General features: G+C 37.4%; 1 long non-coding RNA gene across 3 annotated transcripts in view; it reads right to left on the bottom strand.

Annotated features, from left to right (window-relative positions):
- Positions 1-26781, bottom strand: part of LOC105375236 (uncharacterized) — a 40878-nt gene extending 14097 nt beyond the window's left edge. Inside the window, exons 1-3 of one of the 3 annotated variants that reach the window (XR_927182.2) lie at positions 17831-19027; positions 16458-16688; positions 13463-13761 (exon numbers count right to left, since the gene is read on the bottom strand). This is a non-coding gene — a long non-coding RNA (uncharacterized LOC105375236). The other 2 variants (XR_007060291.1, XR_001745170.2) reach the window with 2 other exon arrangements.
- Positions 26782-27130: the final 349 nt, after the last annotated feature.

Here is a 27130-nt window from a genome sequence, read left to right as displayed (position 1 = left end):
CACTTAATACCACCACCCATTTCCCAACATGGTTTGTCTTCAGAAGTTTCTTGGCTATTGCTGATTTTGTACTTTCATATAAATTTTAGGATCAGCTTGTCAACTTCCATGGTAAATGCTTGTCTTTGCTTAGGTTCCCTACAAAATGGACTCTGAGATGGGAAACCCCTCTGTGCAGGGGTTTATATTCATGCAATCAATACCAGAGGAGTGAGACAAATGGGAGAAGAGAGAAAAATTGAATTGTGGCACAGATGCATCAGAGGCCTCAGTGAATATCATGGGGAGCTCTGGAGCTGGGAAGATTCTTCAGAGAATACCCAAATCAGGTTAAAGGGGCCAAGTGTCTTAATCCCCATATCTATGAGTCATTGCATGTGGACTGCTTCTGCGGAGGAAATAATATTTGGCAAGGCATAAGGTGTAAGGAAGGGATCCAGTTTCAGCTTTCTACATATGGCTAGCCAGTTTTCCCAGCACCATTTATTAAAAATCAATTCAAGATGGATTAAAGACTTAAACGTTAGACCTAAAACCATCAAAACCCTAGAAGAAAACCTAGGCATTACCATTCAGGACATAGGCATGGGCAAGGACTTCATGTCCAAAACACCAAAAGCAATGGCAACAAAAGCCAAAATTGACAAATGGGATCTAATTAAACTAAAGAGCTTCTGCACAGCAAAAGAAACTACCATCAGAGTGAACAGGCAACCTACAACATGGGAGAAAATTTTCGCAACCTACTCATCTGACAAAGGGCTAATATCCAGAATCTACAATGAACTCAAACAAATTTACAAGAAAAAAACAAACAACCCCATCAAAAAGTGGGCAAAGGACATGAACAGACACTTCTCAAAAGAAGACATTTATGCAGCCAAAAAACACATGAAAAAATGCTCATCATCACTGGCCATCAGAGAAATGCAAATCAAAACCACTATGAGATATCATCTCACACCAGTTAGAATGGCAATCATTAAAAAGTCAGGAAACAACAGGTGCTGGAGAGGATGTGGAGAAATAGGAACACTTTTACGCTGTTGGTGGGACTGTAAACTAGTTCAACCATTGTGGAAGTCAGTGTGGCGATTCCTCAGGGATCTAGAACTAGAAATACCATTTGACCCAGCCATCCCATTACTGGGTATATACCCAAATGACTATAAATCATGCTGCTATAAAGACACATGCACACGTATGTTTATTGCGGCATTATTCACAATAGCAAAGACTTGGAACCAACCCAAATGTCCAACAATGATAGACTGGATTAAGAAAATGTGGCACATATACACCATGGAATACTATGCAGCCATAAAAAATGATGAGTTCATGTCCTTTGTAGGGACATGGATGAAATTGGAAATCATCATTCTCAGTAAACTATCGCAAGAACAAAAAACCAAACACCGCATATTCTCACTCATAGGTGGGAATTGAACAATGAGATCACATGGACACATGAAGGGGAATATCACACTCTGGGGACTGTGGTGGGGTGGGGGGAGGGGGGAGGGATAGCATTGGGAGATATACCTAAGGCTAGATGACGAGTTAGCGGGTGCAGCGCACCAGCATGGCACATGTATACATATGTAACTAACCTGCACAATGTGCACATGTACCCTAAAACTTAAAGTATAATAAAAAAAATATGTATTTGGCAAGGCAACTTCCTTCAGGCAAAGGCAGTTCTTACAGAAAGAGTCAACAATAAACTCTCAGCAGTCAACGCTGAAGGCAGCTTGGAGAAAGATGTCTTAGTCAGTACAGGCTGCTGTAACAAAAATACCATAGACCAAGTAGCTTAAGCAACAGACATTTATTTCTCACAGTTCTGGAGCCTGGGAAGTTCAGGGTCAAATTGTCAGCAGGTCTGGTGTCTGGTGAGAGCCTGCTTCCTGGTTGGCACTCATTGCTGTCGGTGAGTTCAGTTCTCCAGTAACAATTCCAAGCTTAGAGAGAAGAGTTTCTCAGTGATGCTGCTGTCTGGCTCATGAACAAACTATTTATTGTCTAACAGTTGGAATGTCCTCAAGGCCCGCCTGTGAAATCACGTGGCCTTATAGGTTTTTGAGGGTGTGTTTTTGTTTTTGTTTTGGCTTTATATAGTGTATCCACTTTCACATGCCCACATCTCTAAACTTTTTGATCCTTTCTTTTGCTGTTAGCATTCCAGCATCTCTACTTTACTTGGTGGGTGCTACTGAATTTTCCAGGCATCCAAGAACTAGCATAGCAGTGTATTAACATTATTTCCTGGGGTCCTTGCTCAGTGATTAAATCATGTAATGTACAAATGTGTTTCCAAATTTGAAAAAGTCTCCCTCATTCAAATTATGACTGACTGGCTTGACTCAGCACCTTCAGATGCACTGCGTATGTCTTCCACCACCTTTGCCTACACATGTTGACCAAGCCCTGCAGCTCCACAGTGCTCTCTAGAACATTTTTTGGTATGAGGTTGGTGCAAAAGTAATTGCGAGTTTTGCCTTTGCCATTACTTTTAATGGCAAAACAACAACTACTTTTGTGCCAGCCTAATCTTTTTGGGGGACTGTTCATTGAATCTGTAGTTTAATGTAGGGAAAATTGAGGTTTTATTCAGGAATAGTTTATTTCTTTCCATTTGTTTAGGTCTCCTTGATGATTTTTAATCAAAATTTCATAATTTGCTATGTTAGGGGTTTGTATGCCTTTTAATAGAATTATTCCTAGTTATTTTTGTATCTTTATTTGCCACTGAAAATATCTTTCTTTTTTATTTTTATTTATTTATTTTTTTGAAACGGAGTCTTGCTCTGTCACTCAGGCTGGAGTGCAGTGGCATGATCTTGGCTCACTGAAACCTCTGCCTCCCGGGTTCAAGCAATTCTCCTGTCTCAGCCTCCCAAGTAGCTGGGACTACAGGTGCAAGTCACCATGCCCAGCTAAGTTTTGCATTTGTAGTAGAGATGGAGTTTCAGCATATTAGTCAGGCTGGTCTCGAACTCCTGACCTCAGGTGATCCACCCACTTTGGCCTCCCAAAGTGCTGGGATTAAAGATGTGAACCATGGCACCCTGGAAAATATCTCTTTTTAAACTGTTTATAACTGCTTGTTCCTAATGCAGAAATACAACCAACTTTTCTATATTTTCATTATCAAGAAACTTTTCAAACTTTTTTATTAAATTTCTTAGTTTTTCTGTAGCTTCTTTTAAATTTTCTACTTATATATAAAATTATATCACCTGCAAAAAATGAGAGTTTTGATTCTTCTTTTTTTTCTTATTGCTTTTATTTTTTTCTTATTTGATTGAACTATAGATTCTATAGTCAACGGTTGAAGAGAAGTGATGGTAACAGGTATCCTTATCTTTCTCCTAATCTTAAAGGAAATGCCTTCAACATTACAGTTAGGATTGGTGTTTGTTCTAATTTTTTTATTTATTTGTTTTTACTTGCCTTTTATAAAATTAGTGGTTTCCTTCTATTCCTAATATGCTAAAACATTTTTTAAAAATTATCTATATATATATATATTGAACTTTTAAAAATGCCTTTTCAGCATCTATTAAGATAATCATCTACCTTTCTCTCTTTAATAATGTAACACATGCCATTAATTGATTTTCTATTATCAAACTAACATTGCATACCTGGGATAAATTCACCTTACTCATGATGTACTAACTTTTTATGTATTGTTACATACAGATTGTTAATATTTTATTTAATTACTAATATTTTACATTTTTGTTTGAAAGTGTGGTTGTTGTATCCTTTTTCTTTATGTGACAGTTGTAGTCAGGTTTGGGCCTAAAAATGCTGAACTCATAAAATGAGATAGATGTGTTCCTTCTTTCTCTATTTTCTGTAAGAGCTTTATAAAAAAACTAAAATTATTATTTTTTCCTTGAAATTGTGGTAGAACTACTCTATAAAGTTGTCTGGGTTTGATGTTTTCTTTGTGGGAAATTTTTATTGACTTTGAGTCATCTTTGCTCAAGGATAATATGTATTTCTTGCTATTTTCTGAGACATTAAGGGACCGGCAGGTGAATCATAGTACTATTACTTTACCAAATTATACCAGCATCATTATCTATGAGAAAGAATATACTTACTGAAGTTCTATGAACAGTAGCTGGAAAGTACTGAATATTTTTGTTTCTATGGCAGAATTCCTGGCATCTCATTAGATACTACTTTGCAACTTACAGTCAAGTAACAAAAAATAAATTGTTAATGTTATCTGTATATTTTGTATATTTGCATTTGCAAAGTAGTGACGTTAGGACAGAAGATAAATTTCCTGAGTAGCAAAATTGTATTGGCATTATTACTGATTCAGACTGATTTTCAGATTTTTAAATCATTTTTATTTGTGCACGGCTTTACTTTCTTTTCACCATTCTCTGGATATGATAGCTAAAACTGGACTCTACTCCCTGGATGTGGGTAGACTATGTAAGGTCTACTGTCTCCTCACTATATTTAGGTACATATCTGTCATTATGATTTTCCAGTCTGACATGTAAAGAGCTTGGAAGTCATCACTCATCTTCTCACAAAAAGACAAAAACTGAACAAACTGAAAATCAACAACTCTTCTTAGAGGCATCAGATAATTGAGAGCAGACCGCTGCTGCAAACACTGGAGAGAGAGTCAGATACTAAGAATCATAGTTTACAGGAGCTGAAGCTGAGGAGCAGAAGCCAGAGGCTGGAGCCGGTGCTGGTAAGAACATTTAAACTATAATTGACAAATTGCTATAGGCTCAATGTGGATAAACTTGAGAGTTACAAACTCTGGGGGCCCAGCTCTGGGAGGGCCCACATGTTTTTTGTTTTACCTCCAAGAGCACCACCATGTTCTTTTGGTGAAGATTGGAGAAAAAAATCCCAGTCTTTCTGGCAGGGAGAGTAACCATTTTTAAATACACCCAAAGCTCTCTGTTCTCCTTAATAAAAGCCTGCCCTCAAAGGAGATTGTTTTGCCAGAGCCTAATCTACGGAAAGGGAAATACCCAACTCCAGCCCCCTTTAGCCTTCCCTTCTCACCTAAGGGATGAGGAAAAGCTGAGAAGCACTTGTGAAAGTCACAGTGCAGGGCACAGCCTCACTATAAAACTAAGACTTCATTATAAAATTACAGAATGGTTCTCTTCTTCCATGCTTTACCACCACATCAGTAGGTCTCCTGTATAATAATGATGGATTATGAGAAGAACTGCAGGGCTCAGAAGATATTTATGGAGTCTCTAGGGAAACACAAAGACAAGTGAAACAAAAACCAAGACACTGAAAAATAATTCCAGCCTCAGACACCTACAGCTACAGCAAACATTAAACATGACCTAGCTCTTAGACAGATAAAACTGTAATTCTAATATTGCATTGAACGTGTGTGGTCACTCCCATTTTGACTTAAAGAGGCAGTTTTTGACACTGTTGTTGGAGTTTGTTTTTGTTGTTGTTTCTTTTTTATCAGTGGTGCTAGTAAGTCACATCCTACATTTTATACATTTCATCTTACTTTTGGCTCTGCTTATTGGATATTTATGCTTGTTAATGATCAGTCACATTTTAAGGTTTCTTGGCTCTACCTTGACATTGTCTATTCCATGGACATCTGTCATTGTCCATTCCAGTTTTACATTGTCTGAATTAGATGAACATATTAACTTTATTAGGCTTTTAGATCTGTTAAGTTCTAGGAGCTCCTCTCTAAGCTGAATCAAGCCGATTAACAGCCCTCCTGCTTACTCATCTCCAGTTATCTTTGGTCATGATGGTAAGAATTTCCATAAGAGAGACTTTCTCAAGCTTCCTTGTTAAAAAGCTTGCTGAAGTTCAGATATATTGGGACAGTGTAAGTAGAATATACAATTAGCAAATTCCAATACAGAAAGCGATATGAGTTTAGTGTGACAAATACAAACTGATTTCAACATTTGGCAACTTCAAGTTCTCCCTAATCGGGTTGTTGTTTTCATTTTCAACGATAAGTAAGAATAAAGCCATACTGGGTCTTTGTGATAGATGAGAAAATTATAAAGAATTTTAGAAGACAGGATTCTAAGAAAAATATATGTCTAAAAATATCGGTAAAATAACACATATAGGCTTTGGAAGAATTATGTCTATTTTTATCAGGAGAGAATCAACATATATGTAGCTTACAGATGCTCCAGGGTCTGGGTTCTGAGAGGGGCTACCATGATTGTTAGTATAACAGCTTTGCTGCATCCAGCTGCCATTTAGACTTTCAGAAATGGACTTAGCCCCTGTTAATTTTCCATATCTGTGAAATGTGGATAGTAATAGTTCCTACCTCAAGGATTGCTGTGATGATGACTACTGGAATATAGCAAGTGAACAGTAGATGTTACTTCTACCAGTTTTCACAGAAACAGGGATGTCATGGTATGGACCATATTTCTGGAAGATAAGTAAAAATTGGTGCGGATGACAGGCAAGTAGCATGGTTAAAGAAGAATAGTAAGAATACTAGCATTAGCATAAGAATACTCATACTAATACCAAAAGGTATCAGGATCTAATTGCAGCTGGACAACAAACTTCAACAACTTGGGCTAAATTGTCTTGATTATATATCTTTCCAAGAGCACGCAACTGAATGGAGATGAGACTTGGCATGGTAGGGTGGGCAGTGGTGAGGGTCCATAACAGGAAATTCCAAGGAAACTTCCCAGGAGGAAATGAAAAGTTGTTTCATTCTTCCCATTTTATTACACAGCATTGCATTTCAGGACACCTCAAAATTCTATTGTGAAAAGAAATGACAACTTTCTCTAGAGACAACCCAAAGTAGATTAAAAACCCATCTCCACTAAAAATACAAAAAAATTAGGTGGGTGTGGTGGTGCGCGCCTGCAGTCCCAGTCCAAGGGGGCTGAGGCAGGAGAATTGCTTGAACCTAGGTGGGGGGAGGTTGCAGTGAGCTAAGATCATGCCACTGCACTCCAGCCTGGGCAACAGAGCAAGACCTATCTCAAAATTATAAAACAAAAACAAAACAAAACAAAACAACAAACCAAAAAAACAAGTGGAAACACACACACACATGCACACACACACACACACACACACACACAAACCAAAAAAAAAGAATGGCATCTCTCTAGGAAGAAAAGTTAACTATAAACCACCTAATAAGAAAAGTTGTCCAGTCAGTGGCCTTAGCTATCCAAGACTCTAGGTCATCACTCAGCCAGGGCCCTTGGAGTAAACAAGTAAACATGAGGTGATAGGCCCATGGGCCTATCTAATTTGTTTTAGGATCAAGAACCCAATAATGCTGCCACTTGCAGCTAAATTGCCTTAGTTATTTTGTTATAACCTGCATATCACCCTTTAGTGGATGTCTTAGCTAAACATGGATGCTGACACAAAGGCTAAGAGGGAGCTTATGGGGACCCCGAAATTTTTGGAAGCATGATGCTAATGTGATGTTTTTTTAAAATCTTTCAAAAAAAGCTTATGTAAGATCCTCTGTAGTACTAAGAGTTATATGATATTTTGAAAAATATGCAATTTCCCATTTTTCCTTGCTTTTTATTATTCATGAACTTTTCCCAATCCACCTATTATCTATGAGAATATTAAGTACAAGAAAACAGTGCTCAGCTTTGACTTCAAAAGCAAACTCCCCAAAACTGCCTAAAAGAGCATACAGTTTAATAAGTGATGGGTGGAATGCCTCAGTTGGGAGATAAAGGATGTGAGTGTTTGCCTGGAGGCCTGTGAGGAATCTTCTGGACTTAGAAGAGAAGAACAGAATTAGTATTCAGAGTCTGCACAGCCTTTGCTCTGTCAGCTCTATGCAGCACTAAGGAACCTTTTGTGAGCCAAGCCAATGATGCCCATGGGCCATCAATGCCCTCCAGGTGAGCTCCCACTGCAGGTGTCTGCATTGCCCATTGATTGTGCAAGAGGAGAGTTCCCTGCTGCGCTGACGGTCAACTTGTCTAAATTACCTCAGTAAGCAACCAACCCGTATGCCCAGGATACTTCCAAGCCCCCCAAATAGAGAATGGTTTTAAGATACTCAAGGAAGCAGTGGAAATATGGAAAGTTTTGGGTGGTATTGTTTAGATCCATCTCAAAAACCCTTCACCTGCCCCACCACCAGCCCCCAGAAGAGGGAAGCCTTTGGCCCTGATGAAGGAATCATAATACAACCATGAAAGAGCACAGACTTTCTTTTATCCTGCTAGTGTCTGTTTTCCAACCATTCTGCTGTGAATTTACTCTAAAAAAAATAGCTACTGGAATTGGAGTGGACATGAGTGGCAGAATATTTAATATCAGAGAGGACATATAACTTGGTAGAAGCACATTATTTAATATTTAAAAGTACACATCTTGAAGCCAGGATCGTCGTATTCTTAGGTTTCCGGCTTTGAGTGAACTACTCATATGAGCCTGTGTTTTCTCATTTGTGAAAGGAAAATAATGCTGTCCTCAGCCTTATAAGACCTAAATGGGATGTTACACCCACACACCCATACATAGAGCCACACAGTAGACCTGGTCACATCATGCTCATCTGTTGTCAACACGCTCATCTGAATTTGTTGAGCACATATTATCTTCAGCTGCTGTGAATTGCCTGTAATGGAGATAAAATTCTAAGATACCAGCAAGCACAGGGATGCCTTAGTGTTCCTGGATCCCCAGTATTCACATGCCTGAGGTGTGCTTTCCCTCGCAGGAGGAGTGCACTAAGGAGAAGGTGCTAATGGACTACTGATTTCTTATCCATTCTGTGCTATTTTAAGAGTGTGCACAAAATATTCTATGGCCCTGGATATCTATTTGGAACTCCAGCCAATAACTCTATCACCTTGGTCTCAAGTTTTGAGTGAGTTGGGAAATGAGAGATTTTGTACAAAATATTTTATTTTATGAAGATCTGCTTTTGAATATGTTATTCTATGTGTAATAGGTACATAGTATATCAGAAGGTAGAAATGACAAATACCCTGTTTTGTCTTTGAGAATCTTACAATGCAGTGGGAGAAACTTATTTGGTACTTTCCAAACATGCAAAATAACCATAAGGCAAGGAGATTTAGATTTTTTTTTCAGTGTTCAGTTCTTCTGGACACACATCCTAAATCAAAACTGTCATTTTTAAAAAGACACAACTTACAAATGTCCTTTCCTGAGTACGTTTTCAATGAGATTGCAATAAAAGGTTAAAAAAAATGTATAAAGAAGAGTAGACTATTCAGGGCAGAAGAAACAGATCTCAGGCCTCTACCTATAACTCATTCATCACATGGTTGGTCAAAACCACAGCTTTGAGGGAAGAGGCAAAGAGGAAGAACACTCTAATTTTACCAGAGCTAAAATCATAAAAGTGTCTTCCTCTGAGGGAAAAGAGAGAGGATAGGGAAGAGAGAGAGAGAGAGAGAGAGAGAAAGGAAGGAAGGAAGGAAGGGGGAAAGGCTGGCATTATTTTACTTGCTAATTTGTAAGTGCAATTAAGGTTAAAGTCATACTTCCCTTCACAAGAAAACATGACCCAAAGCTGAATGAGCAAAGAAAGCTTTGTTTGTAAAGAACTTTTCAAGACGCTGTTTTTCTCCTGGAAAATGTGGTTTATCTAATTGATGGCTGAGGAAAACCATCTTTTTAAACTTCCCACTCAGTGAGTCACTCTGGGGTGTGTCTGCCTTGTAGCATCCTGTGAGATCCAGTAATCTAAATTGGCATGACCCAGGCAGCCCCAACCTCATGCGTCAAGCCGAGCTACCAGCGCTGGGAAACCAGAGAGAGCCCGGTTTTCTAAACAGAGTGGTTAACAAAATTGCATGTTATGAAATGGGGTTTCATCCTTTAAAGGATCATTACCTATTTTTAAAAAGAACCTGTCGAATAATTCCTATCACCCCCAGATGTCTACAGTTGCCAGGTCATTACCCCAATGGAAGGGCAAGTATTATTTCCTTAGGGTTTCTTCATGTTTACCTTGAAGATAATTTCTATGCTGCCAACAGTTGCATTGAATGGAGGTGAAATGGAGAATTTGGACATGTTCTTCAAACTTAACTTGAGACGCCGACAAAGCATTATGAATTCTGAACCAGACAGCCAATGGGACATCAAAATCTGGGGAAATAAATGCAAAACTAGTCTGAAAGTCTTAGCCATTAGTACAGAGTCTTGTCCGGTACAGCAACTCAACCATTTTTGACAGCTAAAAATTTTTAATCACCAGAGTGTTGTAGCTGATGTGTATGAAAGTGCAATGTGCATGGTGGACCTTAGGAAAGAACAAAATAAGGGGATTAAGTTTTCCGAAAGAAGAGATGTATGTGCACAGATGGCTTAGGGGAGTTATTGGTGGAGGGTGTCCAGGTTCTTGGCTTTTTGAAGAAAGAATTGGACAAAACACACAAACAAAGCAAGGAAATAATAAAGCAACAAAAGCAGAGATTTGTTGAAAATGAAACCACACTCCACAGGGTGGTAGCAGGCCAGAACAACCAGCTCAAGGACCCAGTTAAAGAATTTTCTGGTGTTTAAATACCCTCTAGAGGATTCCTATTGGTTACTTGATGTACACCATAGGTAAATGAAGAGGATAAAGTAAGGTTACAAATTTATTTACTTGGTGTACACCCTATGCAAATGAAGAGAATGAAGTGAGGTTACAATGTTATGTACTTGGTGTACACCCTATGCAATGAAGAGGATGTTTCCTGCCATAGCTGAAGTAGAGTTACAAAGTTATTTACCTGGGCTTAGAAAGTTTAATTTAATTCCATTTAAATTAGTTCCAGGAAGTCATTAGGTTCCCTGCCTCCAGACCCTGTTTCCTGCTTCAGGGGTTTCTGGAGGAGAACAGAGAAGATAAGGGGTTAGAAATAATGTCAAGCCATCCTTTCTGAAAAAAATAGTCTACCTTCTTCATTATCTTTATTATCTGGGTATCATATGAGAATGTGGAAAGATAGTACTTTGGATTCTTTGAAATTTATTTAGCCAAACTTCCAGGGTTAATTATTTGGAATAAGATGTAGAGGCTGCAAAGTGAGCCAACAAAATTTAAGTGTTACCTTGGACTGGAAAGCCTTTACTCCAATCCTCAGGGATTAATGAATGAGGTAAGGAACGGTCTTGGAGAGAATAAATTGAACACCAGATAAGTTATACAAGATAAGTTATACCAGATAGTTTAAGTTTTAATCGAGGTGCTTAAGTCTGTATGGGATGTTCTTTTGGGGAGATGGCAATGTATAAGGGCTGTCTTTAACTTCTCTCACCTCTCCCACATGATTAGCACTAAGAAGAAAATGTAGTAGACATTGGGTAACAAAGTTAGAGAAGGAAATGAGTTGAAAAAATAGCGTTGCTATGTTAGATAAAAGAGGTGTGACAAGAAAAGTTCTCAATGTTGGAATGAGATAAATAATATGATCACAACCTGAGAACTCTAGGAACCTTATTATAACATGCAAATGATGAGCCTCTATCCACTTCAGGCAGCATTTTCAGCACATTTGGGTGTTTAAAGCAATCACCACATTAGAGACCTAGAAGGATTCTCCAGAGATTTAGGCTTGAGAAAACATATGTTTTTTGGTTTTTTGGTGTTTTCCTGACTTCTCATTAGCAACAGTGTAATTTTCACTGCTCTTCCATCCAATAAACATCACAATTATATCCCCAGATCACAATGATCAGCTCTGGGGACCGATGTGGAAACTCATGGTCACCATGAGAGACTGTGAAGTCATAGTTGGCTGCTGGAAATGAAGACAGAGGACTGGCAAAGTACTCTATTGTGACTACAGATAGAAGTCCTTTAGGATTGTGAATGTCTAATGAGTCCTTTATACTGGCTTTTGAACCTCCTCCTTAATATTTCCAAAAAGCATTACTTCAGATTATCTGTTTTTCTCTGAAAGCATGACATACATACTACTGGTAGTAGGCAAGATGGTTTTATGTGGTACATGATCACATTAAAAATAAGATAATGATGAGTTTAGATAGAGAATTCAGATAGGGAGATAGTAGGTGAATAACAATACCAATGGTACTATGGATATGACAAGAATCACACAATTTTTGTGTGAATGGCTGAAATCTGTCCTGTTCTATACTTTTTGTTAGGTGTGTCTCATAGTTGTATAGATGGCAATTTCTAGACTCAAAATTATGAACTCCTAAGCAACTGGAAAATGAGCAAAGCTGGAAATTTGAACTTGATCATACAAGCCTTCCCTGCAGACTGACAGAATTAAATTTCTTATGGAGAACCACAAGTCCTTAATAATTAATCACATATCATGAGCTTCTTATTAGACAGGGAGAGTGGGTTGGGGGAATGTCTACTTTTGTAAACTGAGCTGGACAAACTTCATAAATCGGTGAGGGTAGATTTTATTCAGTTTCAAGTTTAATTTTATTATCCCTGGATTATTGTTGATTTTGTTTAAAAGTGTGTTGTACTAGCAGAATTGCATTTGCACATGTGTTTCCAACCCACTTGGATATGACCACATGTGTTTCAATGGAATCATTCAGATACAAGAGTAAAGTTAATCAATCAGCAAACACAGATCAAAGTCCATCTTGCCCATTTCCCAAAAATGAGAAATGTTTTCAGCAATTTCAAGCCTGATGAAATGAAATTGGATGGGGGAAAAGGAGACAAAGATAGAATAATTTATTCTACCAACATATGCCATGAGAGAAAAAATATAATTTCTATCAAGTAGTTAGGGAGTTACCAAGTTGTCCACTGACTTAGACACAAGCACTTTCCTCACTAGAACTGCCCTACCACTCTCTCTCATCCCAATCCAGTTAGAACTTGTTTAGTGAGAAGGTACCTCCCTGAAAATTGTTGATGTATTGATGATGACTGTGGTGTGGCTGGTGCAAGTTCACTGATCTCAGATAGTCCCTATAAGTAGGTTTTAAGTAGGGATGAGAGACAGGAAGAGCTGAGTAGCTGAAGCATTAGAAAACAGAGCACAACTTTCCTCATGTCAGCCACCAGATCTCATCATGATGGTCTTGGATTATATTGTGATGTTTCTCAGACTGTAGAGAAGCGAAAAATTACATTGCTGCTATTGAGTAGTCAGAAAAAACACTGAAGAATCAAGGAAACTTAGTTTTCTCAGATTCAAATCTCTGGAGGTTTCTCCATTCTAGGTGAGGATCATCCTAACCATGCTAAAAGATAGAATGATGAAACACACAGAGAGTATCAGAGCGAGGTTGTGAAACAGAAAGATATATAGACTCTTAGCTGTGTCTGAAAGACTGTCAGATAGTAGGGGTTGAGCTACAAGGTTTGAAAAACCTGTTGCTCAGTTGTAGACATGAAGAGGAGATTCACGTTGACTTTGGTTTACCTTTCACATGTAAAAAGCTTGGAAGTCACCACTCCCATCCTAAAAACAAGAAATAAATCTGAGAAGACTTAAAAAATCAATGACATTTATTAGAATCACCAGAGACTTGAGCTCACAAGACAGACCACCACCTCGAAATCTGAAGAGACAGATGAATACAAGTAACTGCAGCTGAAACTTTTGTACCAGAAACGAAAGCTCTTGAAGATGTATACTGATAAGATGGTTAAATGTGAATTTTAATAAATTCTTTGAGGTTGAGTGTAGATTAGCTTGAGAGTAAAAATCCTGCTAGGCCAGTCTTAGTTTTCCCCACACTTTGATGAGTTTTAACTTCAGGATCCCCAGTGGTTTCTCACAATGAAACCTGGAGAAGAAGAAACATCAGGTGATCATACTAATTGTTTCACAAAAAGCATTTGACAAAAATCCAATACCCGTTCATGGTTTAAAAAAATAAAAACCTCTCATCAAACTAAGAACAGAGGGAAACTTTCTTAACCTGTTAAAGAACATCTATGAAAAACCTACAGCTAACATCATACCTAATGGAGAGAAAAACAGATGTTTTCCTCCCAGTTGGAAAGAAAGCAAAGATATTCTCCCTTACCACTTCTAGTCAATATTGTACTGCAAGTCCTAGGTAGTGTGACAAGATTTGTAAAAAGAAAACAAAAGATATAAATATTAAGAAGGAAGAAGCAAAACTGTCTTTCCACAGATAATAAAGTTAAAAAATAAATAAAGTAAAAATAAATGAAACTGTAAAAATAAAATAGAAAATTAAAAAGTAACAAAAAAAGTAGAAAATGAAACAAAAAATAGAAAAAAAAATCTTGGAACTAATAGCAGATTATGGCAAGGTTGCAGGATACAAATTAATAGATAACAGTCCATTGTTTTCCTATATACCACCAATGGAAATGTTGGAATTTTCAAAGAAAAACACAATACCATTTATAATAGCATGAAAATAAAACACTTACATAGACATTTAAGAAAATATGTACAGAATATCTATGCAGAAAACTGTAACACTGTAATTAAAGAAATCAAAGAAGATCTAAATATATAAAAAGATATTCCATGTTCATGGATTGGAAGACTCAACTTTTTTTTTCCTCTGAGATGGAGTCTCACTCTGTTGCCAGGATTGAGTACTGTGGTGTGATTTCGGCTCACTGCAACCTCCAACTCCCTGGTTCAAGCGATTCTCCCACCTCAGCCTCCCAAGTAGCTGAGATCACAGCCATGTGCCACCATGCCCAGCTAATCTTTTTATTTTTAGTAGAGAAGGGGTTTCACCATGTAGGCCAGGATGGTCTTGATCTCCTGACCTCGTGATCTGCCCACCTCGGCCTCCCAAAGTGCTGGGATTACAGGCGTAAGCCACCACGCCCGGCTGGAAGACTCAATATTTTTAAGGTGTCCATTCTTCTCAACTTAGTCTAGATATTCAATGCAATTATAATCAATATTCCAGCAAGCTATTTTGTGGATATTGAAAATCTAATTCTAAAGTTTATATCGAACAGCAAAATACATGGAGTAGTCAATGCAATACTGAAAAAGAACAAAGTCAGAGGACTGACAGTGCCCAATTTCAAGACTTAATGTAAAGCTAAATTAAGACAGCATTGTAATGATGAAAGAACAGACATTAGATTAATGGTACAGCATAAAGAGCGCAGAAATAGACCCATACTGATATAGTCAACTGATTTTTGACAAGAGCAAAGGCAATTCAATAGAGAAAGGATAGTCTTTTCAACAAAAGATACTGAAATAATTCAACATCCATATGCAAAAATAAATAAATCTAGACAGGAATTACACCTTTCACAAAAAAAATAACTAAAAATGAATCCTTGATCTAAATATAAATCATAATACTATATAACTTCTAGAAGAAAACATAGGAGAAAATCGAGGAGACCTTGGGTTTGGTGAGTTTTTAAATGTAACACAAAACCACCATCCATGGGAAAAAAATAGTTGTCTTTATTAAAATTTAAGTGTTTTGCTCTGTGAGAGGCAATGTTAAGACCATCAAAAGACAAGGCATGAAGTAGAAGGAAATATATACAAAACCCTTATCTGATAAATAATTTGTTTGTAAAACATATAAACAACTCTTGAAACTCAACAAAGAAAATAAGCAACCTAATTAAGAAATAGGCAAAAAATCTGAACAGAAACCTTACCAAAGAAGACATTTAGAGGCAGACAAACGTGTGAAAAGATGCTCAACATTATACGTCATTAGAAAATTGCAAATTAAACAATAATGAAATACCACTACACACCCATTAGAATGGCTAAAATAAAAACAAAAAACTGGCACTACCAGCTACTGGCAAAGATGGAGAGCAAAAGGAACTCTCATTCATTGCTATTAGAAATGTAAAATAACATTGAAACCTCAGAAGACAGTTTAGCAGTTTCTGACAATGCTAAAGACAATGTTACAATCCAGTCCCACAATTACGCTCCTAGGTAATTAAACAATTGAGTTAAAAACTTTTGTCTGTACAAAACCCTGCATGCTTATGTTTATAGCAGCCTTATTCATAATCACCAAAAACTTCAACAGGTGAATGAATAAACAAACTATGGCATATCCATACAATGAAATACTATTCAGAAGTTAAAAAGTAAGCTATCAAGCCACACACACACACACACACACACAAAATATATATATGTATAAACCTTAAATGTAGCCAGGCATGGTGGTGCGCACCTATAATCCCAGCTCCTGTGGAGGTTGAGGCACGAGAATGGCTTAAACTTGGGAGGTAGAAGTTGCAGTGAGCCTAATTGCACCACTGCACTTCAGCCTGGGCGATAGAGTGAGACCCTGTCTCAAAACAACAACAACAACAACCAAAAGAAACAACAAGAACAACAACAGCAACAACAAAACCCCAAACAACAACAATAAAAAATCTTAAATGCATACTGCTAAGTGAAAGAAGCCAGTCCTAAAAGATTGCATACTCTGGGGGTTCCTCCCCAGCCTGTGCACCTCCCATCTCTGAAAAAGAAGCCCCAGAGCCCCACCTTTTCCCCACCCCTCCAGGGCTTGTCTGTGGACGGTGACAGGGTTTGAGGAGTGGTGGGGACCGCTGAGGCAGGTGTCAGAGGGCAGTCTGGTGGTTCTTATTCTAGGAATGAGTCGGGGCTGGATGGCAGTGGCTGCACCTGTGGCCAGTCAGCTGCTGCTGTCCATACCACAGCCCTCTCCCTCATGATGGGAAGGGAATGGTCAGGCTGGCTGCTGCCATTTTGTCCCTAAAAAAAAGAAAAGAAGGAAAAATGAAAAGGCTGTGTATATTGTATGATCCAATTACAGGGCATTCTGGAAAAGGCAAAACTATAGAGGCAGTAAAATGACCAGTAGTTGCCAGAGGTTCCAGGATAGGATGAAGCACAGATGATTTGGGGGAATTTTATGTATGATATTACAATGGTGGACATAAAACCTTATATATTTTTCAAAATCCATAGAACTTTATAACCCAAAGAGTGAACACTAATATCTGCAATATTTTAAAAACAATTTAGGACCTTGGGGATCTCAGAAAGGAATACAGACTGTGACGAGAGCATCTAACTGTAATGCAAATGATGAAACAACTTCCCTGCAGGGGACGGAGGGAAGACGTGCTGACCTAAACGAGTAGAAATAAGTGGAATCTAAGGCTAAAGGCAAAAGAAACTGCACATAAAAGTTATATAAGTGGTAGCTAAACAATAAGAACACATGGACACATAGAGGGGAACAACAGACACCGGGGCCTGCTTAAGGGTGAAGAGTGGGAAGAGGGAGAGAATCAGAAAAATTACGTATCAGTTACTACGCTTATTACCTGAGTGATGAAACAATCTGTATGCCCAGCCCCAATGACACACAGTTTGCCTGTATAACAAACCTGCTTATATACTCCTGAACCTAAAAGATTTTTTTTTTTAAATGAAGAAGTAAAAAGGCTCTACAAGACAGTTAATCACTTCACTTGTAGGAAAAGTCACAGTATTCAATATTTTATGGCAACTGAGAAGAATGCAGGATAGGTATTTTTGTGCTCACTAGAGAAATAGAAATCTTTTGAAATGTTCACACATCGTTTTTTTGCATTCTATTTGATAGATTAAATTCATATATAATTTTTTAAAAATGTTTTCAAGGTTGAGGGGACAGAGTTGACCACAACCCAATGTTAGACAGCTAATATCCTGGGCTTTCCCATTGTTCACATTTTGGAAATTCCTGTTGCCTAGTTACTGTTTTTCATTCCCTGTATCTTTCTTGGTCTTTGTTCATTCACCAGTCTTAGTGCATTTTATTGTCCAGTCACTTTCTAATAAAAACTGCATAAAAGGCAAATGTTCCAAAATATGCATGTCTCTAAATATTATTACTCTACACTCACCCTTGTTTGGTCCAATGGCTGTGTATAGAATTCAAAGTTGGAGACGATTAGTTGTTAAAATTTTGCAAACATTCATTCCTTGTTTTCTTATTTCCAAACTTGCTGTAAAGGAGTTCAAAGCCTATTTCCTTTGTATTTGACCTCTTTTATCTCACTAGAAGATTTAGGGATATATTTAATCCATTACTGGTTGTGGAGTCATATTTTAATTATCATAACAGACAGTTGGTGAGCCTTTTAACCTGCAAAGTCATGTCATTCAATTATGGGAAAATGTATAATTGCTTTGATAATTTGATCTCCATGTCTCTTTTGTCCATTTTTTCTTCTGTAACTCTCATTTTTCAGATGTTGGACTTCATGGGTTGCTCTCATAATCTTAAGTTTCTTCTATTTTCATTCATTTTTTTTTTAATTGTGCATGCTGAGATGTTTTCTCAGCTTCATCTTCCAATCTTCTACGTATAGAAAAGAATGCACAAATATATATATAGCCAACTAGTATGCATAAATTAATGTATATGAGTGTATGTATATATGTAAAATTTTCTTCCTCGCTGTATTCACTTTCTCTCCCTTAATCTGTTTCTCCCTTTCTCTGTTTTCTCTTCTTTCTCTTCCTCTTTCTTCACTCTCTTTGATTTATCCTTCTTCTTTTGGTTTTTCTTACTCTAATTCCATGACTCTTTCTCTTTTAAATTTTTAAAAAATTGACAAATCACAGCTGTATACATTCATGTAATATGTGTACAAGGTGGAATGATAAAATGAAGTTAACATATTCATCATCTCACTTAACTCTTTGTGTTGAGATGTTTGAAATTCAGCATCTTGTTTATTTTGAAATATGCCATCTTACTTATTTGGAGATGAATAATACATTGTTATTGACTACAGTCACCCAGCTGTGCAATAGATTTAAAAATTTATTTCTCCTGTCTGACTAAAACTTTGTAAGCTTTGACCAACAACTCATTTTTCTCCCTTTTTTTCTCCCCAAGCCTCTGGTAGTCATTATTCTACTCTCTACTTCTATGAGTTATTTAGATTTCCCCATATAGTGTAATTGTGCAATATTTGTCTTCTTGTGCCTGCTTATTTCACTTAACATAAGTGAATATGTCTTCCAGGTTGATCCATATTGTTGCAAATGGCAGGAGTTCTTTCTTTTTGCAGGCCAAATAATATTTCATTGTGTGTATATACCTCATTTTCTTTATCCATCTGTCGTTTGGTGGACACTTGGGTTGCTTCCACTTCTTGGCTATTGTAGATAATTCTGTATTTTCTACAAAAATGACAAGAACACACAATAGGGAAAGGACAATTTTAAAAACTAAGTTGTGCTGGGGAAATTGGATATCCACATGTAGAGGAATAAAATTAGATCCTGATCTCACATCGTAGAAAAAAATTAACTCGAAATGGATTAGATATTTAAACATAATACCTGAAATTAAAGAACTGCTAGAAGAAAACATAGGAGGAAAACTCCATGACATTGGTCTAGGCAAGGATTTTTTGGAGATGACCCTGAAAGCACAGGCAGCAAAAGCAAAAATAGACAAATGAGATTGCATCAAACTTAGAAGGCTCTTACAGAAAAAAAAAAAAAAACGATTAACAGAGAAAATATTTTCAAACCATACATTTGATGAGGGACTAATATCCAAAATATATAAAGAACACAAACAACACAATAGCAAGAAAACAAATAATCCAATTTAAAAATGGGCAAAGGACCTGAACAGACGTTTCTAAAAGAAAGACATAAAAATGACCGGTGAGTTCATAAAAAAATGTTCAGCATCACTAATCTTTAGAGAAATGCAAATTAAACCCACATGAGATATCCCCTCACACCTGTTAGAATGGCTTTTATAATAAAGATGAAAGATAACCGTTGGTGAGGATGTGAGTAAAGGAAATCCTTGTACACAGTTGGTAGGAATGTAAACTGGTACAACCACCATGGAAAATGGTACCGAGTTTCCTCAGAAAAACTGAACATAGAACTTCCATAGGAGCCAGCAGTTTCACTTCTGGGTGTATATCCACAGGAATTGAAATCAATATGTCTAAGGTATATCTGCACTCCATGCCTCTCTCTTTTAATACTTTATTTCAATCTCTCTCTTTGCTTTCTACCTGGTTTGACCTATGTTTTTGCCCTTATTCATTTTTCTCTTTTTGTTTTTTTCCACTATTTTCTCCTTTTGTTTCCCTCTCTCTTTTTCTCTCACCACTGGTTCCCTTCCTCTTCTTGTCTCTAATTTCCTGAATCCATGAAACATCTCCCCCACATCTGTTTCTGTCTTTATTTCTCCACTTTACTTGATATCCTCCCTCTCTCCTCTTAGCTTTACTCTCATTACCACTCTCCATGCTGTCCCTTCTCTCTCTCCATCTGCCCCTTCACTCTCTCTACACCCCTCTGTTTTCTCCCTTTCTCTCTTCCTTGTTTCACCACATCTCCCTGATTCTCATTTCCATAATTCTCCCTCTCCCATCTCTATTTTCAATCCACTATCCTTATTCACATTTTCTATATTGCTCTTGGTATTACATTTTTATTTCCAAAACCTCTTATGCATCTTCTGATTTTCTCTTAAATACATAAAGCATCAATGTCTTGTTTCATGGATTCAGGATTTTTTTTTTTTTTTTTTTTTTGAGACAGAGTCTTGCTCTGTTGCCCAGGCTGGAGTGCAGTGGCACAATCTTGGCTCACTGCAAGCTCCACCTCCTGGGTTCACGCCATTCTCCTGCCTCAGCCTCCCGAGTAGCTGGGACTACAGGCACCCACCACCATGCCCAGCTAATTTTTTTGTATTTTTAGTAGAGACAGGGTTTCACTGCGTTAGCCAGGATGGTCTTGATCTCCTGACCTCATGATCTGCCTGCCTTGGCCTCCCAAAGTGCTGGGATTACAGGCGTGAACCATTGCTCCTGGCAAGATTCAGGATATTCTTACCTTTAAGGATATTATTTTATCTGCCATTATCTCTTCATGGGCATCTTGTTTTGCCTATGCCCTCTATATTAATTTTTCCTATTTCCTCATTGGTTTTCAGCTCTGTTTTTCATATTAATGTTTTCTGATCCTACTTGGCAGTCTGTACCTGCTGATTTTTTTTGAGTTAACTTTTTTTAAATTTTATTGTTATTATACTTTAAGTTTTAGGGTACATGTGCACAACATGCAGGTTTGTTACATGTGTATACATGTGCCATGTTGGTGTGCTGCACCCATTAACTCGTCATTTAGATTTTTTTTATATTTTTTTCTTTCTTTTGAGGCTGGGTCTCACTCTGTCATTCAGGCTGGAGTGCAGTGGAGAATCTTGGCTTACTGCAACCTCTGCTTCACGGGTTCAAGCCATCCTCCCACCCCAGCCTCCCAAGCAGCTGTGACCGCAGGTGCAGACCACTATGCCTGGATAATTTTTGTATTTTTTGTAGAGATAGGGTTTTGCTATGTTGCCCAGGCTGGTCTCAAACTCCTGAGCTCAGGCAATCCACCTGCCTTGGCTTCTCAAAGTGCTGGGAATACAGACATGAACCACCACACCCAGCCTGTAACTGCCAATTTCTACTTAAGAGCTGCACTAAAAAACTGTTTGAAAGTTTAATGTGCAAGGATACGACTTGTTAATTAGTGGTTGTCACTGTAGGGTAACTGAGCAGGATCTGACAAGTATTTTGGGAACCTACAATGTGGATATCTATGGGCATTTTTCTTCTAGCCAGTCAGAAAGGAATCTTCAATAAAAAAATACATTCTTCAATCTTCTGTATACAGTATAGAAACCTAGATAATAGATTCTGGCACCTACAAAGAAGAGGACCTGCAAGTTTTACCATTTGTCATGTTGACTTTAATTTAAAGCTCCTTTTTTTCCATGTAGAAACTCACTTTTCTTTCAGCGCTGGCTGGGGTCTACAGGTCCAAACTATCTGGTTTATTCTTTTCAATGAATAAATATCCAACCTTCTTCTAGGTTAAAAGATGCTGTTTTAGCCTGGGTTCTCTTAAAATAAAAGCCTGAGACTGAGGCATAAATAAACAATAGAGGGAGAAAAAGTAAATGTTAGGGGAATTAGGCAGAGAAGATGGGAGAATAATAAGGAAGGACAAAAATATAAATTTGATGATTAATAACAAAAAGCACTGCCAATACACCAACATTGGAGTTAGTGTTGAAGTCTTTAACGTTTATATAAAAATTCCAGTGTTTAAAATGTTGCAGAATATAAAAATATGGAAGTTTTCTTCTTACTTCATAAAGCTACTACAAAGGACAGAAAAGAGACTGCATATTAAAAGAATGAAACAATGACCATGTAAAGATTTTCCTAGAATACAAGAATAGTTTAAGATTGGAAAATTAATAGAATGTGTCAGTCAATCAAGATCTCCACAGGGTTTTGATAAAACATCCATTCCTTTTATAAACTTCATAGTCTAAGAATGAAGAGCTCTTTCCTTAATAATAAACATTCTTAAGCCAACATTCAATATAAACCTTAACAATAAAACATTGAAGGCATTCCCATTAAAGTTAGAAAAAAGATATGAATGCAGGCCATGACTACAGCTTAATTTTGGTCTGGAAATTTAGAAGAACCCGTGGGTTCTTTATCACTGTGAAGGTGATATTAAAAGGTAAACATCTGCAAGTGCCAACTCCTCTGATCATATAATTACTTTCTTTCTGAGAGGCTCTATTTTCATTGAAGACAATTCTATGACCTCTCCAGAGCTTTCTAAAAGTACAGAGGAAAAGGGTGAGGGAATGCACAGGTCATTTAGGAATTTAGCAAAAAATAGTTTACAGAGTGAAGGTCTTTATGTGCTGAGACTGAGAGCCAACCACAGCAATTCCATGATGACTGGATAATTGTAGGCTTTACACACACATTCCAGACACTCCCCAGGCCCTATTACAAGCACAATTAGAAGCATCCTTATGTGATAGAATAGCATTCCTCATTGGAATTGTGACTAGTTGTGGAGAGTTGTCATGGGTGCATAAAAAGAAAGTCTTAGAATTTTTGAAGGTAGAAAGGGAAACCCTAGTGCCTCTTTTGATGGATTTAAATATAAGATGTCAGTCAAATGGAAACAAGACTTGAAAACCACTATGAGAGATGGGCAGATCACGAGATCTTTGAATTAAGAGCTCTGGACTCAAGATTATCTATTTGCTGTCTAATGTTGGATAAGTGAATTACATGCCTTCTTGGACGAGTTGTCAGACAGGTGAACATCTGGCTCACAAAAGCCCCAGTATTAAATGGAAAAAAAAGTTTCTCCAGCTGAAATATTAATTCTAATATTTTTGAGAAACATTTATTTGATTGTTTTTTCCTTTGTCACCGCAAATGTAACAGAGATTTCAAGAAACTGGTAGGCCTGAGTCAGAGCTGGGACTGCTGAGGCTGCAAAATCCTATGGTGTAAGATTACAGGTTCTGCCCACCTGTAGACCAGGTTCTACAAATTGAGGAAGACAGTCTTTGGTTTCAGCAGCAAATCAAAGGGCATAATGCTAAAGATTCTGAACAGGTGAAGCCAGTGACACCACAGATGGGGCCCGTGCTAGATTTTGTCCATAAGTTCCAATAATTCTTAGGAGAATAATGATGATGATGAAATAACTACCTACATTTATTGGTGTGCTACATAAGAACTATTAGTTTTGGGATTCAGTCCCTTCAACTCTGAATTTCATGGCCTGAACACTTGTTAGATTCATACCCTCCAGTGAAATTGGAAGAGTAGAGGCAGACCACGCAACATGTAGGTATGACATTGGTAGATCTCTTCATAGGGAAAACTAAAGGAGCACAAATCTTGGAAATAGCTCCAGTTAAGCACATCGAAAAGATGTTGTTTTAAATGAGATTATCTCCATACATTAGCATATTAATTTTCATTTTGCTATCCCAGCAACTGTGTCAACTCCATTTCCAAACTGTAACCACGGTAACATGTGTTTAAGTACATAAGCTGATGTTCAAAATGTGAAATATGACATGTCAACCTGAGAAACTTTTTTATAGATCAGGTTTAGTTAGTACTGTCTTGGTTGATACATTGAATTTTTGAGGCTTTTTCTGCTTCAGTAACAATTTCTATGTAATCACCATTAGAATCTTTGATCAAAGTACAGTGCATTTAGTCTTTTAGTAATACAGAGCAGAAAATGATCATTCAACACTTAACTGTAGAGACTGGCTAGGGCAAACTGTATGAAATTACTCCAAGACATAAAGCAATTTAACTGTGAAGATCATGTCAGATAAGCAAACTGCCAACATCAGTTAAGTTGGAATGTAATAGATAATGTGGAACTTTGTGTAGTTTTGTTGGAATTATAAACTGGGAACATATTTGCACCAAATCTAAAATTTGTACACATATTGGCCATTACTTCATTTATTTTGTTCTATAGCTACATAAATCTTATTTCATCTTGCTTAAGTTTTAAAAAGCCAATAAATTTAGTAATATAGTCTTCACTGCTTGTAAATGTTATTTTCTACTGTTCTGATAAAGTAAGTGAAATCACTCTTTTATCTTCAGCATTAACCTTTCTCGAACAGATATTTTATTTTTACTTCAAAATGCATCCTCAGCATATGCTCTTTTTCTTTTTTCTTAACCTAGCTCTTTCACTCTATACTAAATGTTGCAATAACTCTCTCATATGATAAAAAATGAGGTACTCTTCTACTTTGGATGACTGAGAAAGTATTTAAAGATTTATTTTTAATTTAAAATAGCTTTAAAATGGGTAAATTCAAGTGTGAAATCAGTATTATTCAAAGCAAGACCATAACATTTGTGTGAAACTGTAGGAATAAAATTTTTATAAGTTAAAGTATTTTTTCATTTTTTGCTCAGATTTTTAAAACTCAAAAAATATACTTTGTTTATTCATACAAAAACCCGTGCATTGTGCTTTTCTTTTTTTTTTTTTTTTTCCTTTTTTAGATGGAATCTTGCTCATTTGCCAGGCTGGAGTGCAGTGGTGCAATCTTGGCTCACTGCAACCTCTGCCTCCTGGGTTCAAGTGATTCTCGTGCCACAGCCTCCCAAGTAGCTGGGATTACAGGCACGCACCACCACACCTAGCTGATTTTTGTATTTTTAGTAGAGATAGGGTTTCACCATGTTGGCCAGGATGGTCTCGATTTCCTGACTTCATGATCCGCCCACCTCAGCCTCCCAAAGTGCTGAGATTACAGGCGTGAGCCACCATGCCTGGTGCATCGTGCTCTCCTTATGGTAATTCTATGATAAGCATATTTCACTATGATTTCTGGGTATATTCTATTTTTTAATCTCTTTTAAATAAGCATATTTATTACAAATATCCACATTAGCTCAATTTATCGTGAGTTCAGATGTGTCCCAATGTTTTCCAGAAACTTTATTCCAACTATAGAGTCTCTGAGCTTTAATGATTTTCTGCACCAGAACTTGTGGCAGACAGGTCATTTAACACCAACGGAATGCCACATCTCCTTCTGGTAATCAAAAATATCCTAGCATATGTGATTATTAAATTTTTTACAGTGAACATTAATTTTGATTTAGCTAGTTATTGTTTGTTTTTACTAACCTCAGACCTTGTGTAAAATCAGAACTTAAAACTGCATCTATATGATTATCATATGTGTTATGACTAATGAAATTCACAAGGATGAACACCAACTTAGCCTTGACTTGCCAGATGAAAAACATGTTTTCCAACAGAACTAAACATTATTACTTTGCTAAATACTAACTGCAGACACTCAGTATTCTTCATGCCCCCTTCAGTTCTCTTGTATTTCTGGGACTAGAAGCCTGGGAGCTACACTCCCTAGACTCCCTTGCCAGTAGGGTTTTGAATTTATGTGGGGTTCCACCAAGGAGACACCCTGCCACAAGATTTAGAAGGCAGACAAAGCAGAAGCCATCTCTATGACAGTGGGTGTAAGTGTGGGTCTCCCAGGCATGAATGTTTGCAGTAGTTTCTGCATTCTCCTGCCATTCACCTTTCTGGATGATGGAGTTATAGAATCTGCAGCAGATTTCTGCAGGTCACTGACTCTGGATGGCAGTACCTCTGTCTCTGTAGCACGAAACCTACAACTAATATATTTTGCCAGTTCAGGCTCTTAATGGTTTTGCAAGCACCTAATTCTAACCTAGCTAATAAATAATAAATTCTGGCTTTTATTGGGAATTCTACTGCCATATGGAGCTAGGGAATCAAGATCTGGCTCTTGACACTTCTTACCATATAGAAGGCAAGATATTAGAATAGTTTTTAGCACTTAAAATGAATATGTCAAATGTTTACTTGCAACTAAACCTGATATGCAACCTTGTTAACTTCATTGTTTTTCTGCTGTGTAATGTGATATTTTAAAAATATTGGATTAAACAGTTTAAGTACATCCTATTTCTCTAACCGAATGCACCCATAAAACCCATAAAGAATGCCTGGAGCAGCTATATGAAAATTCTGAAAGTAAGTAAGAGCAGGTAGACTGGAGAAGATGACTATAATTAGAAGTATTGCAGAACCTATAATGAGCTGATCATTTTTTGCCCCCCAAAAAAATTTTTGCTCTCTTACCATTTTTTGCTCTCCATCTGCCAGCCTGGGTCCAAGGAAGCCTGAATCCCAGAAGTGGGTATTGATATAGAAAGAGAGAGAGCAATGGAAGTCTTCTAGTTCTGGCTCAAGATGTGAAAAAAACAATCTTTGAGTGCTCAGAGAGAGTGGAGAAAACTTCTTATTTTTCTTTACCTTTGTCTTCCTTTGGTTATCTTGAATCCCTGCTCCATGGCAGTAGCAGTAAGGATATTGGTGACAGCACAGACCTGAAGGTGCCTAAACTCTGAGGGAAAAGAAATTTTCTCTGTGATCAGTGAACCTGTTGTCTCAAGAGAATGGGATGGACTCCTGTTGCTTTTTTCCCTCTCCGTCCTGCTGACTTTTCACCCAAATATGGGTGTATCTGTGGGAAGAGTGCAGCAGAGCAGGGCAAATAAAACTCGGGCTTTACTGCTGGAGGACTAAAAAAAGGAACTTTAGGGAATCAAAAAGTAGAGACAGATTATGGAGAGAGAGGAATTTGGGTAAATGAACTCTATAAATTTGCTTACGAACTCCTGGGCTCACTCCTAAGCTGTGCATGCATGGAACCAGGCCCAAACAGCATACCAATAACTTTTCGAATTGAACTAAGGGATTACCACTACCCAGGTCTCAGACTGACTGCTTGGTGACACACATCC

This window comes from Homo sapiens, chromosome 7 (genome assembly GCF_000001405.40).
Source record: "Homo sapiens chromosome 7, GRCh38.p14 Primary Assembly".
Taxonomy (NCBI): domain Eukaryota; kingdom Metazoa; phylum Chordata; class Mammalia; order Primates; family Hominidae; genus Homo; species Homo sapiens.
Note: the sequence above shows the minus strand (reverse complement) of the source record. Positions and strands in the feature narration are given on the sequence as shown.